General features: G+C 47.9%; 2 long non-coding RNA genes across 6 annotated transcripts in view, besides 1 other annotated feature; one reads left to right on the forward strand and one right to left on the reverse strand.

Annotated features, from left to right (window-relative positions):
- The window catches only part of LOC105373215 (uncharacterized), a 66,658-nt gene that overhangs the window by 47,046 nt on the left and 4,478 nt on the right, over positions 1-15,134 (forward strand). Inside the window, exon 3 of one of the 5 annotated variants that reach the window (XR_002958490.2) lies at positions 9,640-9,776. The exons of the other annotated variants lie outside the window; for them this stretch is intronic. This is a non-coding gene — a long non-coding RNA (uncharacterized LOC105373215). The remainder of the gene's footprint in view (positions 1-9,639; positions 9,777-15,134) is intronic. 5 annotated transcript variants of the gene reach the window in all.
- Positions 1-15,134, reverse strand: part of LINC02768 (long intergenic non-protein coding RNA 2768) — a 61,478-nt gene that overhangs the window by 28,297 nt on the left and 18,047 nt on the right. The window lies entirely within an intron of this gene.
- Positions 7,308-7,377: a silencer, noted in NCBI's record as "silent region_1994". NCBI's record gives its function as "represses an Ori minimal core promoter by ATAC-STARR-seq in GM12878 lymphoblastoid cells {active_cell/tissue: GM12878}" and the evidence as "EXISTENCE:reporter gene assay evidence [ECO:0000049][PMID:35858748]".

The raw sequence follows: 15,134 nt of genomic DNA on the forward strand, positions 1-15,134 counted from the left end.
CATGAGTTTATGATAAATGGCAGAGGCTTCGGACCAGGGCCCGTTCTCAGTACTGCACACCAGTCACACTGATGACAGCAGAGTGACAGGTACTGTTGATAAGCCTCTCGATAGACAGACTGACAGTCAATCAATATCTACTGACTCCTACTATATAGGGAGCTTTATACTGGCTTCTGAGAGATACTCATGGCTTCTCTCCCACAAAGAGCTTACGTTATTCTGTGAGCCATGACACATGTTCAAAACATGTAAGTAACAGTGCAAAACAAGAGTGGTAGAGTGTCAGGAAAAAATGCCATAGGAATCAGCAGAGGGAGAGCTTTCTATGAGGAACCCTGGTGGGGGAGGTTTCACAGGGGAGGTGAGCCTTGGAGGATGTATTTCATTCACACAGGTAGAGGAGGGCAGCCCTTGGAGACACTGTGAGGACAGAGTGTCAGTGCAGAAATGGCAGGTTCTGTGAGGACATAACAGGGTGTCTTGGGTGGAGGTATTTCACACTAGGAAATACTGAGCGTGAAGGCTGAATAGGGGACTTGGAATGTAGCCATTAAAAGAGGATTTTGGCCAGGTGTGGTTGCTCACCCCTGTAATCCCAGCATTTTGAGGGGCTGAGGCTGGAGGATCATGTGAGTCTGGGAGTTCGAGACCAACCTGGGCAACATAGCAAGACCCTATCTCTACAAAAAATTTAAAAAATTAGCCGGGCATGGTGGTGGACACCTGTGGTCCCAGCTATTTGGGAGGCTGAAGTGGAGGATCTCTTGAGTCCAGGAGGTTGAGGCTGCAGTGAGCTGTGATCGTGCCACTGCTCTCAAGACTGGGTGACAGGGTGAGCCTCTATCTCTAAAACAAAAGATAGCTTTAAAAATGTATAAATAATTTAATTTTTTAAAAATGAAGGGGGAATTTAACCTTTATGCAATTATGCTCTACAAGGTGGTTGGGGAGAACAGGGATGAGATGACACTGCCTGGGGAAGGTTAGTGTGGCTGCAAGGTGCTGGGTACATTAGACAGCAAAGAGCTGTGGGTCAGGGAGTGGATGAGCACCCAGAACTTGGTGCTGGCAGAGCGAAGAGATCAACCCGTTGGCTTCCCCACCCTCATTCTCCTCCCAACTGACCTGCAAGTCACAGCACTGCAGTATCATGTCGACACTCACTGCTGGGTACGTAGCTTAGGCTTTCACCACCCCACCACCCAACCCGGTTTCATCATCACGCTTCTGGCCCTTGGTCCCACTTCCCTGCCCTACTTATGGCTACCAGAATTCTCTGGCTATAAAACCAATGGTACCATGTCTTCATGCTACTTTAATACTCAGGCAACTCAATGTCTGTAGGATAAGTCCACACACCTTTGTAGGGTAGACGAGGCCCTTCAATGCCTGGCTGTGCCTACTCATGTTCCCCTCTCACCTTGCACCCTTGGCTCCAGACTGATGACCTCACAGTTCCTCCTAAAAACAATGTGTATGACCCACTGTGCATTTCTGGAGCTGTACCTTTGCAAACAGATTTCCTTCTTTGCAGAAAGTCTTTTCCTATTTGCGTTCCTACCTTTTCTTTGGGACTCACTTCAAACATATCATCTACCATCTATCATCAAACATATCAGCTACCTTCAGGAAGCCTCCCTTCCTTGATGCTCAGATTCCTGGCACTGAGAGCCTGTTGGCTCTTCCACTGTTCCTGTTCTGTCTTCACTTGTTTTTTTATTATTTATTTATTTTTGAGATGGAGTCTCACTCTGTTGCCCAGGCTGGAGTGCAGTGGCGTGATCTCAGCTCACTGCACCCACCACCTCCTGGGTTCAAACAATTCTCCTGCCTCAGCCTCCTGAGTAGCTGGGATTATAGATGCCCGCCACCATACCCAGATCTTTTTTGTATTTTTAATAGAGACGGCGGGGGGTCTCACCATATTGGCCAGGCTGGTCTCGAACTCCTGACCTCAGGTGATCCGCCCACCTCGGCCTCCCAAAGTGCTGGGATTACAGGCATGAGCCACCGTGCCTGGCTCCATTTGTTTAAATATCTGCTTCCTCTGCAAGTGGTGAGCCCAGGACCTGATTCTCATTCTACGTATTCCCAGGGCTTGATGGGACTCATTGTTCATAGGAAGGAGCTTGATAGTTGTTTGATGAATGAATGAGCAAGGGAAAAAGGATAAAGAGGAGCGAAAAAACGAAGCCGGGTTTTGGGGGTATTGGAGCAAATTAAGTGGGGGATACCATGTGGAGATGTGGCCCCATCAAGACCAACCCTGTCCCAAGAATGGCTCAGGTTTGCCTTGCTGGGGTCTTTGCTCCACTGTTACCAAACCCCCCACCCTCTGAATTGAGCTATGGGTTCCAGGAAAGGCACCCCTGTCCTGAGTTGACTGCAGCGATCACAACTGCAGACAATCATGATTCTTTGAATCCCTATTTTGATGTTAAAGCCAAGAAAGAGCATTATAGAAACTCAGGAAGAGAAAATAAATTTAGCCATCATCCCACGACCCCGGTACAATTACTATTATTTTTCCATTTTTCTTCCAGTCTTTTTCCTTATGTCTATAGCTTTAATTATGTTTTTCTGTATGAAATATAAGCAGGAAATGGAAATTTTCTAAAGGACTTCTTTTATTTGCCTCCCACTGTTTTGCATACAATGGACACTTAACACATAACTTTAGGCAGACTGAGGCGTCTCCTGATGAAAAGCTTTTCTCAAAGGCCATGTGGTTGCTGCAATGAGCCTTCTAGAGGAAGCTGGTTATAACCTCTCTCCATCACGTCCAGCCCTCTCTTTCCCGCCTGGCTCACACACTTGCCTTCCTTTAAATAATATTTTTCATTCCTCCAATCAGTCATTTGATCAACAAACATTTAGTGGGCGGGAACTGTCCCTAGGCCCTGGGCTGGGCCCTGTATTTACCGCCCTGTGGTTCATCAGCCCTCAGCCTGGTGCATCCACGCTGGTATCAACCTGATGGCCCCAGAAGCTTCTGAAAACTCATGAGCTTTCCTGATGGTTTATCCCTCAGGCCTTCTCCAACTCAAACTAAGGTCTGCGTGTACCTTGGCCCCTTCTTTTGTGCTTGTTGTACCCAGAAGCAAAATAATTGTCTAGCTGTCCCAAGAACGGCCAACCGTTGAGATTGTGTCAGCGAGTCTTTGTTCAGTTCCTATAAAGGATGGCCTATTAGGTAATACATCCATTCCAGATGGAAAACAGGCCTTTCGAAAGCCCGAAATAACCTATTGCCACATCCCCCTTTGAGCCCACAAATGGTTCTTTCACTATGAAAGAACAAACTAACTAGAGCCTCAAAAATGTCTTTCCTAGCTTTAATAAGTGGGGATTCTGGCCTCGGGGTCATACAAGGATGATCACACATGAGGAAAGCTCAAATGAACAGAGTTATGCCAGAGATGGCTGGCCTGGGCAAAGCTGGCATTGCTCTCGGAGGGAAGCCAAGTTTTTCCAATTGTTATTCTTGTGCCATAGGGCAGATCAGCTGGGGTGGGCCGGTGAACGCTGCACTGTCACATCACGATGCTTGGAGCAAGGGGTTGCTTGAATGGAGGCAAAATGCTGCGTTGACTTAGGAGGAAATCATCTTAAACCCTGAGATCTGAAGAGCTATGTTTAGCTGGGAAGTGATGGAGCTCTTCAGCTTCTTCATAAACTCACAAACCCAGGATGAGGCTAGAAGAAAGTCAGATTTCTTATCTGCCAGAACTCTTGCTGGGAAAGATGTCACCAAGGTATTCCCCAACATTACCAGGCCTTCTGTAAAGCACCTTCTTCATGCTCCCGGGCCCATCACACACATGCACATACACGTACACACGTACACACACATGCACATGTGCACATGTATACATGTGCTGTTATGGGCTGAATCTCATCCCCTTCCCAAATTTATATGCTGAGTCCCTAATCCCTAGTCCTTCAGAATGCAACCTTATTTGGAAATAGATTCTTAAAGAGGTAATTATATCAAAATGAGATCTTGAGGGTGAGTCCTAATCCAGTCTAACCAGTGTCCTTATGCAAAGAGGAGATCAGGACATGAACACGCACAAAGAGAAGGCCTTGTGAGGACACGGAAAAGACAGCCATCTGCAAGCCCAGGAGAGAGGCCTCAGGAAAAACCAACCCTGCCAACACCATGATCTTTTAAAAAAATTATTCGTCTTTTTAGTTGAGATAAAATATACATATATAACTTACCATCCTTACCATTTCAATACCATGATCTTGGCCTTCCAGCCTCCAGACTGTAAACTAATAAATTCCTGTGGTTTAAGCCACGCTGTGTGTGACGCATCGTGATGATACCCAAGCAGACTGACATACACACTCACACAAGCTCACATATTCACACACGTACTAATACACACCCTCACCCAAAAACACTGACACACAGAAGCACTCACACACACAGATGCACTTACACTCGGTTCTCACCCTCCTGTGTCACCCACACAATCCTTATCCCCCCATCCCTGACACACACATGCTCCCTGAGGCCAGACACGTGGACTGTTGTGGCTCAGGACCTCACTGAGGCCAGTTCTCTTCCGGAGCACAGCAATGGTTTGCTGTCTGCTAAGATCATTCCTCTCGCTGGAACCTTGGGTCCGTCCCTGGGGCTCATTGCCTGGAGTGTGGCTTTTTGCATCCTCACATTTCCTGAATGCTGTACTTTGTTTTCCTGTCTCCCAGCTTGGATCTCCTGACCTTGGCCTGGACCTGGATCTGGGAGGCTGACTCTATTGACCATGGGGAAGGAGCTAACAGGATTGAACCTCAGGACCGTCCTCTGCAAAATGAGGAATTTAGGCTAGCACAGTGGTTCTCAAAGTGTGGTCCCCAGACCAGCGACCTCAGCATCGCCCTGGAACTAGTTAGAAATGCACATTCTCTGGTCCCAACCCAGACCTACTGAACCAGTGCCTCTGGGAGTGGATCCCAGAAATCTGTGTTTTAACACACGTGCTATCTAGGAGGTTCTGATGCAGGCCAAAGTTCGAAAACCGCTGAACTGGAAGATCTCTAAAATTCCTCCTAGGAGATAAACCTTTAAGACTTGCTATAAGAATTAAGTGCCATGATTATGGTGCATATTATTTATGAAACTTGTTCAATGTGCCCTGCCCTTCCTATTCATTATCTCTACAACCTCCTTCTAAAATAAGTATCAATTAAAAGTATTTTCCAAATGAGCAAAAGGAGGCCCGGAGAGGTTAAATAATTCATCAGGAGACACGCAGCTGGAGATGAACAGGAGGAGGATTTGAATGGGAAGCCATCTCAGTGTGCTCTCTCTACTACCTCCCATGAGCAAACACAGTGACAAGTGAACTCAATGAATATCATTTTCCGGTGATTCTGTGACCTTTGAGTACCTGCATCCTCCTACCTTAACCAACTTTGCCAGCCTCCTTCACTGCCCTACCTGATCGACAGTAATTTCCAGCTCTCTTCCTTCCCCCATGCTCAGCCCAACACCCAGCCCTGGCTTTCTCACCTTCCTGGGACCCCCTGCGTTCCACGGTAGTGAACAGAGACACACGACAGCCATTCCGTGGATCTACAGTGACTGTTCTCCTGGACACAGAGCCAACGTGGCTACTGAAGGAAAGAGGCCAGTCCTAAGTTCAGGATCTGTGACGGCCTGGAAAATGTACTCTGTCCCCCCACAACCTCCCGCTACAACCTCCCCCTAAAAGAAAAACTTTCTACAGGTGATGTTGAGATTGCCACAGGCTTTGGTCCTCACAGACTGCAAATACCTATGGGAGAAAGAATGCTTCCACAGAGGAGCGCCGAGGGGAAGGAGAGCACCTCACTGGGATGGGATGGGAGTGGGGTGACAGCACCGCCCAGAGGCATACAAGCTGGCCTCTCTCTGGTTTTGTGGAGGCGGCCCTTGCTGGTATCCTAGAGTTGTCTCCCTGGCCTGCTTAGCAACGCACAGCTCCTAGGGGCCATCACCCACTAGGAGGGCAGGGCCTTTTGTCTTTTTTTTTTTTTTTTTTTTTGAGACAGAGTCTCTGTCTATCACCCCAGCTGGAGTGCAGTAGCATGATCTCGACTCACTGCAACCTCCGCCTCCCGGGTTCAAGCGATTCTCCTGCCTGCCTGAGCCTCCTGAGTAGCTGGGATTACAGGAGTACGCCACCAAGCCCGGCTAATTTTTTATTTTTAGTAGAGATGGGGTTTCACCATGTTGGCCAGGCTGGTCTCAAACTCCGGACCTCATGATCCACCCACCTTGGCCTCCCAGAGTGCTGGGATTACAGGTGTGAGCCACTGCACCCGGCCAGATTTTTGTCTTTTTACTGTTGTATCTCCCCACATAGTAAGTGCCTAATCAATTGAGTTGAATAAATGAATTCTTGCCCCATCTACCAGATTCTACCTCAGGGGCAGCTTCACACACACATACATACACACACACACACACATACCTACACACACACACACACACACACACATACATACACACACACATATGCATGTGCACTCAGGCACACACGCATGTGCTCACTCACACATGTACTCATGTTCTGGGGCCGGCACAGAGGCTGGGGGAGAGTAAGGAAGTGGGGAGGGGCATCTTTGGCAGGGGAAGGGTGCTGGTAGGACAAGAGCAAAGCGCAGAGGGACTGAGGGGTGGTGAGAACGGATCTTCTCACAGTTGAGGCCTGTAAAAAAAAAGAAACCACACGGAGGCTGAGGGCAAAGTGCCCTAAATTGGAAGTCTGGCCTAAGATCTGACGATGAATGGTTTTCAAACTCTGGAGGCGGTCTGCTTACGAAAACTCTTGTTTGCACTGAGTATACAGAAAGGGCACTGAGTGGGGCAAAGATGGCCCCACATGCTTGAACTTGCCTGTGAGTCTGGACTCAGACCCAGTTGTAGGGTGGACCTGTGGGCGGGGCTAATTTTGTAGTGTCCAGAAGAGCACCAAGGGAGTTTTTGTGAATTGGACTTCCACCCTAAGCGATACTAGGTTTAGTTCCATTTTCCGTCTGGAGAGAAGTCCTTTGCAGCATTTCGTTTGGCGGAAGAGTTTTGCATAATATTTCACACAGTGTTCCTTGCACAAGCTTTCATTACCCCATGACCAGGCTAGGGACTCCCCGCCTTCTATGACCAGGTGAAGAGTGAGTCTCCTACTCCAAGCTCCCCCTGTTCGCCTGGTTTTGATGCCCTGTTTCAGTGCATCATCTGGTAATTTCGTGACCTGCAATCGGCAGAGTGGGCTCGACTCATCTTCTATTTCTATGCTGCCCACTGTGTCCTTCTGAAAGGGCTGAGCCCTGGGTCTGGTAATTTTGGACTGTCTGCAATTTGGAATGGGTGTGTCACTACTGCCCTCTAGAACCAGGTCTTGGTTATTGATTGCAGCTCCCAGAAAGGAACCCTGCAAACACAACCCTTGGTTAAGGCAGGCAGTCTGTCTTCTCCTTTTCAATAATAACTTCATGTTTGAGGTTAATAAGTGGAGGTTCTTTAAAGGGCACACAATTGAGGCCCCACACTCCGCTAGCTGCTTTCCCGTGAGAACTTCCAACAGGGCTGTGGTTTGCTGTTTATAGAGAAGGGGTGAAGAGCCAGGGCTGGAATGTGCATTATAAATGACAACGTAGGCCAAGCATGGTGGTTCACATCTGCAATCCCAGCACTTAGGGAGGCCGAGGTGGGAGGATTGCTTGAGCCCAGGAGTTTGAGACCAGCCTGGGCAACATGGTGAAACACTGTCTCTACTAAATATACAAAAAATTAGCTGGGGATGGTGACGCATGCCTGTAGTCCCAGCTACCTGGGAGGCTGAGGTGAGAGGGATCACCTGAGCCTGGGAGGTTGAGAACTGCAGTGAGCTATGATCGCACCACTGCACTCCAGCCTTGGTGACAGAGTGAGACTCTTTCTCAAACAAACAAACAAACAAAAGATGGCAATGTACAGTTGCTGGACAAACTGCCTCACTGGAATTCAACCTTGGAGAAGTGATGGATTTTTCTTAGTGTTGGCAGAGCCGTATGGTTAGCATGCTCCTCTGCCTCGTGTTTTCGTTTAAGTCCTCGTGCTTTCCTCCTTGTCCTAAAGTAGTCAGGGACCAAGTTGCACAGTCTCTGCATCCTCCATGATACCTGACACAGTGTCTGGAACAGAGAAGTTGCTCAATAGGGAATTTTCTTTCTTCTTTCTTTTTTTTTTTTGAGACAGAGTCTCACTCTGTTGCCCAGGCTGGAGTGCAATGGCTCGACCTCAGCTCACTGCAACCTCTGCCTCCCAGGTTCAAGCGATTCTCCTGCCTCAGCCTCCCGAGTAGCTGGGATTACAGGCATGCGCCACCACGCCTGGCTAATTTTTGTATTTTTAGTAGAGACGGGATTTCACCATGTTGTTCAGGCTGGTCTCGAACTCCTGACCTCATGATCCACCCTCCTCAGCCTCCCAAAGTGCTGGGATTACAGGCATGAGCCACTGTGCCCGGCCAAGAATTTTCTTTTTTTAGAGACAGTGTCTTGCTCTGTTAACCAGGCTGGAGTGCAGTGGTGGACCCATAGGTCACTGCAGCCTCGAAGTCCTGGGCTCCAGTGATCCTCCTGCTTTAGCCTCCCAAGTAGCTGGGACTACAAGCGCGTGCCACCACACTTGGCTAATTAAAAAACAATTTTTTTTTGTAGAGATGGGATCTATGTTGCCCAGGCTTGTCTCAATTCCCGGCCTTAAGCGATCCCCCCGCCTTGGTCTCCCAAAGTGCTGGGATTACAAGTGTGAGCCACCAGCACCTGGTCCATAGAGAACTTTACAGCGAGAGATGATTGATCTTCCTCCCTGACCTTGTGAACCTTCCCACTGATGCTGTGTTTGCCAAGTAGGGAATGCGGCTCTCCACTAAGTGTCGCCTGTAAACCCTATGGAGTCAGATTCTGCTGGCTCTGCACAGCGAGGACATGTGGGTTTCATTCTTGTATTCTTGTAAAGTTAACAATACAACTTATGGGGAATTTAATAGCTGGAAAGTTGTATCAGTCCTCTATAAGCCCTGGGTGAATCTTTGAGTAGCAAATGAATAAAACAGTATGGCAAAGGGAGTCTAATCACTAGTTAAGCCCTTGCTAAAATTGCCAACTCACTAAGAAGGTAGTCTTTTTACATTTTTAAAGGACTTGTTAACAAGTGAGCTGATGATACATTGGCCCTGGGGGAGGACATCAGTTTCTTCTTTGCTTGTGTGAAAGAGTTCTATAAAAATGAAATGCATGACCGACAACTTCTTACTTTTTCAAACAGAGGTATTATTCTGCAGTGGTATCACTGGGGCATAGCAATGGCAGGAAGAGCTTAGGACTCGGAGTCCTAAACCACTAAGCTCGTAGCTAGGATGATCACAAAAAACAGGTAAAAAACATTGTTAACAATGGTCTTCAACCTTGATGTCCAGCTTCTGGTCTGTACAGGGGGAGTTCCATGATCTACTCTTCCCCTGGAGTCACACAGTCCACTGGGGAGAGATGCCCAAGGCAGACCTTCCCTCCCCAACTCTTCAGGCTCTCCAAGTCCTCTCTCCAAGTTTGTTTTGCTTACGCCTGTTTCCTTTCATTTACCACTTTCCCTTTCAGGCCAGGGTCAAAGGAACCTAATGTGAAAATGTTTCAGTCTTTTGATGAAGTATTCCAGAACACAGAACTCCTTATCATACAGAACATCAAGTTCCTTTAAGATATGGGTTGCTATCTCCAATTCATTTTGGGAAGAGGTGAGGTATTAAATATTTATATTAATTAAATAGAATTATCCTAAAATAACATAAGTTGGCTTACCCCTGGGCAGGAAGTCTCATTTACAAGTGAGCACACCCACCTGTTGATACCCAGGGCCATCATGTCTGCCAAGCAAAATAAACTCCTTCATGAACAGACAGGAGCCACGCTGTTCCCTCTGTGCCCAGTCACCAGAACAAGGCTCTTAAATCCCAAAGATCGATCAGGCTTTTTTTTTTTTTTTTTTTTTTGACAGTTTTGCTTTTGTCACCCAGGCTGGAATGCAAATGGTGCGATCACAGCTCACTGTAACCTCTGCCTCCTGGGTTCAATCGATTCTCCTGCCTCAGTCTCCCGAGTAGCGGATTACAAGTGCGTGCCACCACGCCCAGCTAATTTTTGTATTTTCAGTAGAGACAGGGTTCCTCCATGTTGTCCAGACTGGTTTCGAACTCCTGACCTCAGGTGATCCACCTGCCTCAGCCTCCCAAAGTGCTGGGATTACAGGCGTGAGCCACCGTGCCCGGCCTTGAGCCACCATGCCTAGCCTTGAGCCACTGTGCCCGGCCTCAGCCAGGCTTTCTTTCAGGCCCTCGGTGTCATTTCGTTTATTTAGCTCTGTTCAGTGATAATGTAGATGTGATTCAGGAACCTGCCAGCAGCGCTGTGGACTCCCACCCAGCTGGGTGGATACACCTAGACCTGTGGCCCATCTGCTTTCCCTTTTTTTATTTTGAGACAGTGTCCCACTCTGTCACCCAGGCTGGAGTGCAGTGGCACAATCATAGCTCACTGCAGCCTTGACCTCCTGGGCTCAGGCAATCCTCCTGCCTCATCCCCCTGAATAGCTGGGACTACAGGTGTGCGCCACTATGCCTGGCTAATTTTTGTATTTTTTTTTTTTTTGGTAGAGATGGGGTTTTGCCATGTTGCCCAGGCTAGTCTTAAACTCCTGGCCTCAAGCGATCTGCCTGCCTCAGCCTCCCAATGTGCTGAGATTACAAGTGTGTGTCACCACTCCCAGCCTGTTTTCCTTTTAAAGAAGCCCTGGAAACAGTGGCCAACACTGCCACCACCCCTGGGTCCCCAGACTGGCTCTTGGCAGGAGTGTGAAGGTCTGATGCAGGATGGGGTGTCTTCTCAGAGACCCACAGCCACACTTACAAGGAAAAGTGGCTGCTTCTAAGATGGCTTTTGCATGGCAGGTGTTAGCCAATTAAATCCACAATTCCCACTGATGTACAATGTAGTCAATCACTTCAAAGCAACTGATTTACAATAGCCATTACCAGCCTCCCCAGAGCTGCCCCTGCCGTCTGTCGGGGACGCTGGCCACACTGGCCGATTGTCCAGCTGCTGCGTGTTGCCTGCTGTGGCCCCTTGTCTGGAGCAGCCACGCTTTGTTCCGTAACTCTCCTCCTGCTTCCCTCCCAACCCCAGCCATTGTGCATCGGGCCAGGGGGAAGGATGGCTGATCCAAGGAGGTAAGACTTGGGGCAGAAACCAGTGGGGAGCCGGGCTGTGCAGAAGGAGAGGGAAGGAGAGCTGAGTGGCAGGAGGCAGAGTGAACCCTGCTCATTGCGGAAAGCCAGGAGCCTTCTGAGCCCGTGGCCCTGAGCTCTGCTATCCTAATTTTCCTGGAGCTCCCATAATCCTTTTCTTGAGGTAACCAGAGAGGCTCTGTGCTCTTTGCATCTCCCAGGACACTGGCGACTTGGTGTTTCCTTCCCTGTAAGAGCTTCTCCCTGCAGTCGTTGGATGCTTGGGTGTTAGGGGTTGAATTATGTTGCTTCCCCACCCCAAATTCCCGTATTGAAGTCCCAACACCCAGGACCTCAGAATGTGACCTTCTTTGGAGATATGGTCTTTGTAGAGATAATCAAGTTGAAATGAGGTCTTAAGGGTGGACCTTAATCCAATATGACTGGTACCCTATTTTAAAAGTGGGGGAAATTTGGAGGCAAACAGCATACAGGGAGAATACCATATGAAGATAAAGACAGTCAGAGACACGCCAAGGAGAGAGGCCTGGAACAGATTCCCCATCATACCCTCAGGAGGAGCCAACCCTGCAGACACCTTGATTTTAGACTTCCAGCCTCAGGGTTGTGGGAGAATACATTTCTGTTGTTTCAGCTGCCCAGTCGGTGGTACTTTGTTATGGCAGCCTGAGTGAACTAATATGGCTGGTGCAGTCCTCTGCATGGTCCGGGGACCCTGGGGACCAGCTCCATCCTGCATCTTCAATAATTCCAGCTCTTTTGTCTCCAGCCCCAAAACAAAACCTTTGATTTTGTGTTTCATTTCACTGTGTTTTAAACATCTAAGGACAGTTGGCCGAGTGCGGTGGCTCACGCCTATAATCCCAGCATTTTGGGAGGCCAAGACAGGTGGATTAGCTGAGGTCAGGAGTTCGAGACCAGCCTGACCAACACGGAGAAACCCCGTTTCTACTAAAAAATACAAAATTAGCCGGGCGTGGTGGCACAATCCCATAATCCCAGCTACTTGAGAGGCTGAGGCAGGAGAATCACTTGAACGTGGGAGGTGGAGGTTGCAGTGAGCTGAGATAGCGCCATTGCACTCCAGCCTGGGTGACAAGAGTGAAACTCCATCTCAAAAAAAAAAAAAAAAGGACAGTTATAAGTTATACGTGCATAGTTTAAAAAGTCAATTCAAGGCCTCTGGGTGGAGCAGAGCACAGACTGGTTCTCTCTTCCCAGAGCTTCCTCACCAAGAGCAGGGCTGGAAAGCCCCAGAGAAGGTGAAGGAGACGTATTCAGGGGGAAGCAGGAGCTGCTGTAAACAGCCACCTGATTTGCTAAGAGATTCAAGTGCTTTACAATGGGACTGGAAAGTCCATGGTGTTCCTATAGCCTCCTTGTCAGGGGCAACGACAGGGCCAGGAGCAGACCCTGAGCTGACCAGACTGAAGAGAGTGGGTTGGAAATGAAGGTCCCACCAGACTGACCTGCTGCACCTCTCTGCTCTCGCCCCTGGGTGTCCCAGGGCACACAGAAGACCCTTGATGTGCAAATATTTGATGCTAATGATCCCAGCAGCAACGTGTTATTGCGAATATCCTGATGTGTTTATAGGCCAAATAATAAGGTGGCAGGGGCTGCCCACTCTCTCTCTGTAACAGACTGTATGTATGTATGTATGTATGTATGTATGTATGTATGTATGTATGTATTTATTGAGACAGAGTCTTGCTCTGTCACCCAGGCTGGAGTGCCATGGTGCGATCTCGGCTCATTGCAAGCTCCGCCTCCTGGGTTCACGCCATTCTTCTGCCTCAGCCTCCCGAGTAGCTGGGACTACAGGTGCCCGCCTCCACGCCCGGGTAATTTTTTGTATGTTTAGTAGAGATGGGTTTTCACTGTGTTAGCCAGGATGGTCTGGATCTCCTGACCTCGTGAACTGCCCGCCTCGGCCTCCCAAAGTGCTGGGATTACCGGCGTGAGCCACTGCGCCCAACCTATTTATTTTGAGACGGAGTCTTGCTCAGCCACCCAGACTGGAGTGCAGTGGCATGATCTCGGCTTCCTGCAACTGCTGTCTCCTGGGTTCAAGCGATTCTCCTGCCTCAGCCTTCCAAGTAGCTGGGATTACAGGCACCTGCCATCATGCCTGGCTAATTTTTGTATTTTAGTAGAGGTGGGGTTTCACCATGTTGGCCAGGCTGGTCTTGAACTCCTGACCTCAGGTGATCTGCCCGCCTTGGCCTCCCAAAGTGCTAGGATTACAGGCATGAGCCACTGCACCCAGCCTAGACTTTATTTTTTGAACTATTTTGTGCTGACAGAAAAAATCAAGCAGGAAGTAGAGAGAGTTCTCCATACACTCCTTAGCCTCTATTATTATCTTGCATTTGTGTGGTATACATTTTCAAATCAATGAGCCCATATTGATACATTATTACTAACTAATGTCCAAAGTTTACATTAGGGCTTCCCCTTGGTGTTACACAGTCTATGGGTTTAGACAAATGTATCATGGCATGTAGCCATCATTGTAGTATCACACAGGATAGTTTCACTGCCCGAGAAATCCCCTCTGCTCCACTAGTCATCCCTTCCCCACCCCACCTTACCCCAAAACCACAGATTTTTTTTTAACTGTCTCTATTGTTTTGCCTTTTCCAGTGTCATAGAGTGGAATTACATAATATGTAGCCTTTCAGATTGGCTTCTTTCACTTAGTAATATGCATGTAAGTTTCTTCCATGTCTTCTCAGAGCTCAATAGCTCATTTCGTCTTAGCCCTGAATAACATGCCGTTGTCTGGGTGTTCCATAGTTTGTTTATCCATTCGCCTGCTTAAAGACATCTTGATTGTCTCCAGGTTTTGGTAATTATGAATAAAGCTGCTATAAACATCTGTGTGCAGTTTTTTGTGTAGTTGTAAGTTTTTAACTCATTTGAGTAAATACCAAGGAGCATGATTGCTGGATCTTATGGCAAGACTGTATTTAGCTTTGCAAGAAATGATCACACTGTGCTCCGAAGTGGCTGCACCACGTTGCATTCCCATCAGCAATGAATGAGAGTTTCTGTGGCTCCCATCCTCACCAGCATGTTCTCAGGGTTCTTGGTTTCTCAGTATGTTTGACATTCTCAGTGTTTTGAATTTGAGCTGTTCTAATAAGTGTGCAGTTGTATCTCACTGTTGACTTAATTCATAATTTCTGAATGACATTTGATGTTAAGCCTCTTTACCTATGCTTACTTGCCATCTGTATATCTTTTTTGGTGAAGTATCTGTTCAGATCTTTTGCTCATTTTCTAATTAGGCCATCTCTTTTCTTATGGTTGAGTATAAGAGTTCTTGGCATATTTTGGACATCAGTCATCAGACATGTGTTTTGCAAATATTTTCTCCTGGCCTGTGGCTTGTCTTGTTCTCACAGGCTGCTATGCATTTGGATGTTTAGGAGGACCAGTGAGGACAACACCGGTGTCTCCCACGGTGTGCTTGTGTGTGTGCAGAGGAATATACTCACTGGAAAGCAGACTGAGATGTGAGGCCACATCTAGGCAATGGGAGAGAGTTTGGAATGGAGGAACATTTGTTTTGGGTGGAAATATGTCAGCTTTCATTGCTTTAGCTCCATCCTTCTATTCATCCAACCAATATTTATGAGGTGCCTGCTATGTACCCAGTATGATTCTAGGTATCAGGAAAGCAAAGATCAGTGAGAAGAGTCCCTACCTTCAAAACACTCACAGGCCAGTTTGGGAGGTGGTCATTTCAATGCAGTGTGAAAATGCCCCAATCTCCAGTGTGGGCAACATAGGGAGACCCTGTCTCTACAAAAGTTAGAAGAAAAAAAAAAAAAAAACAGAGGCATA

This window comes from Homo sapiens, chromosome 1, assembly GCF_000001405.40.
Source record: "Homo sapiens chromosome 1, GRCh38.p14 Primary Assembly".
NCBI lineage: Eukaryota > Metazoa > Chordata > Mammalia > Primates > Hominidae > Homo > Homo sapiens.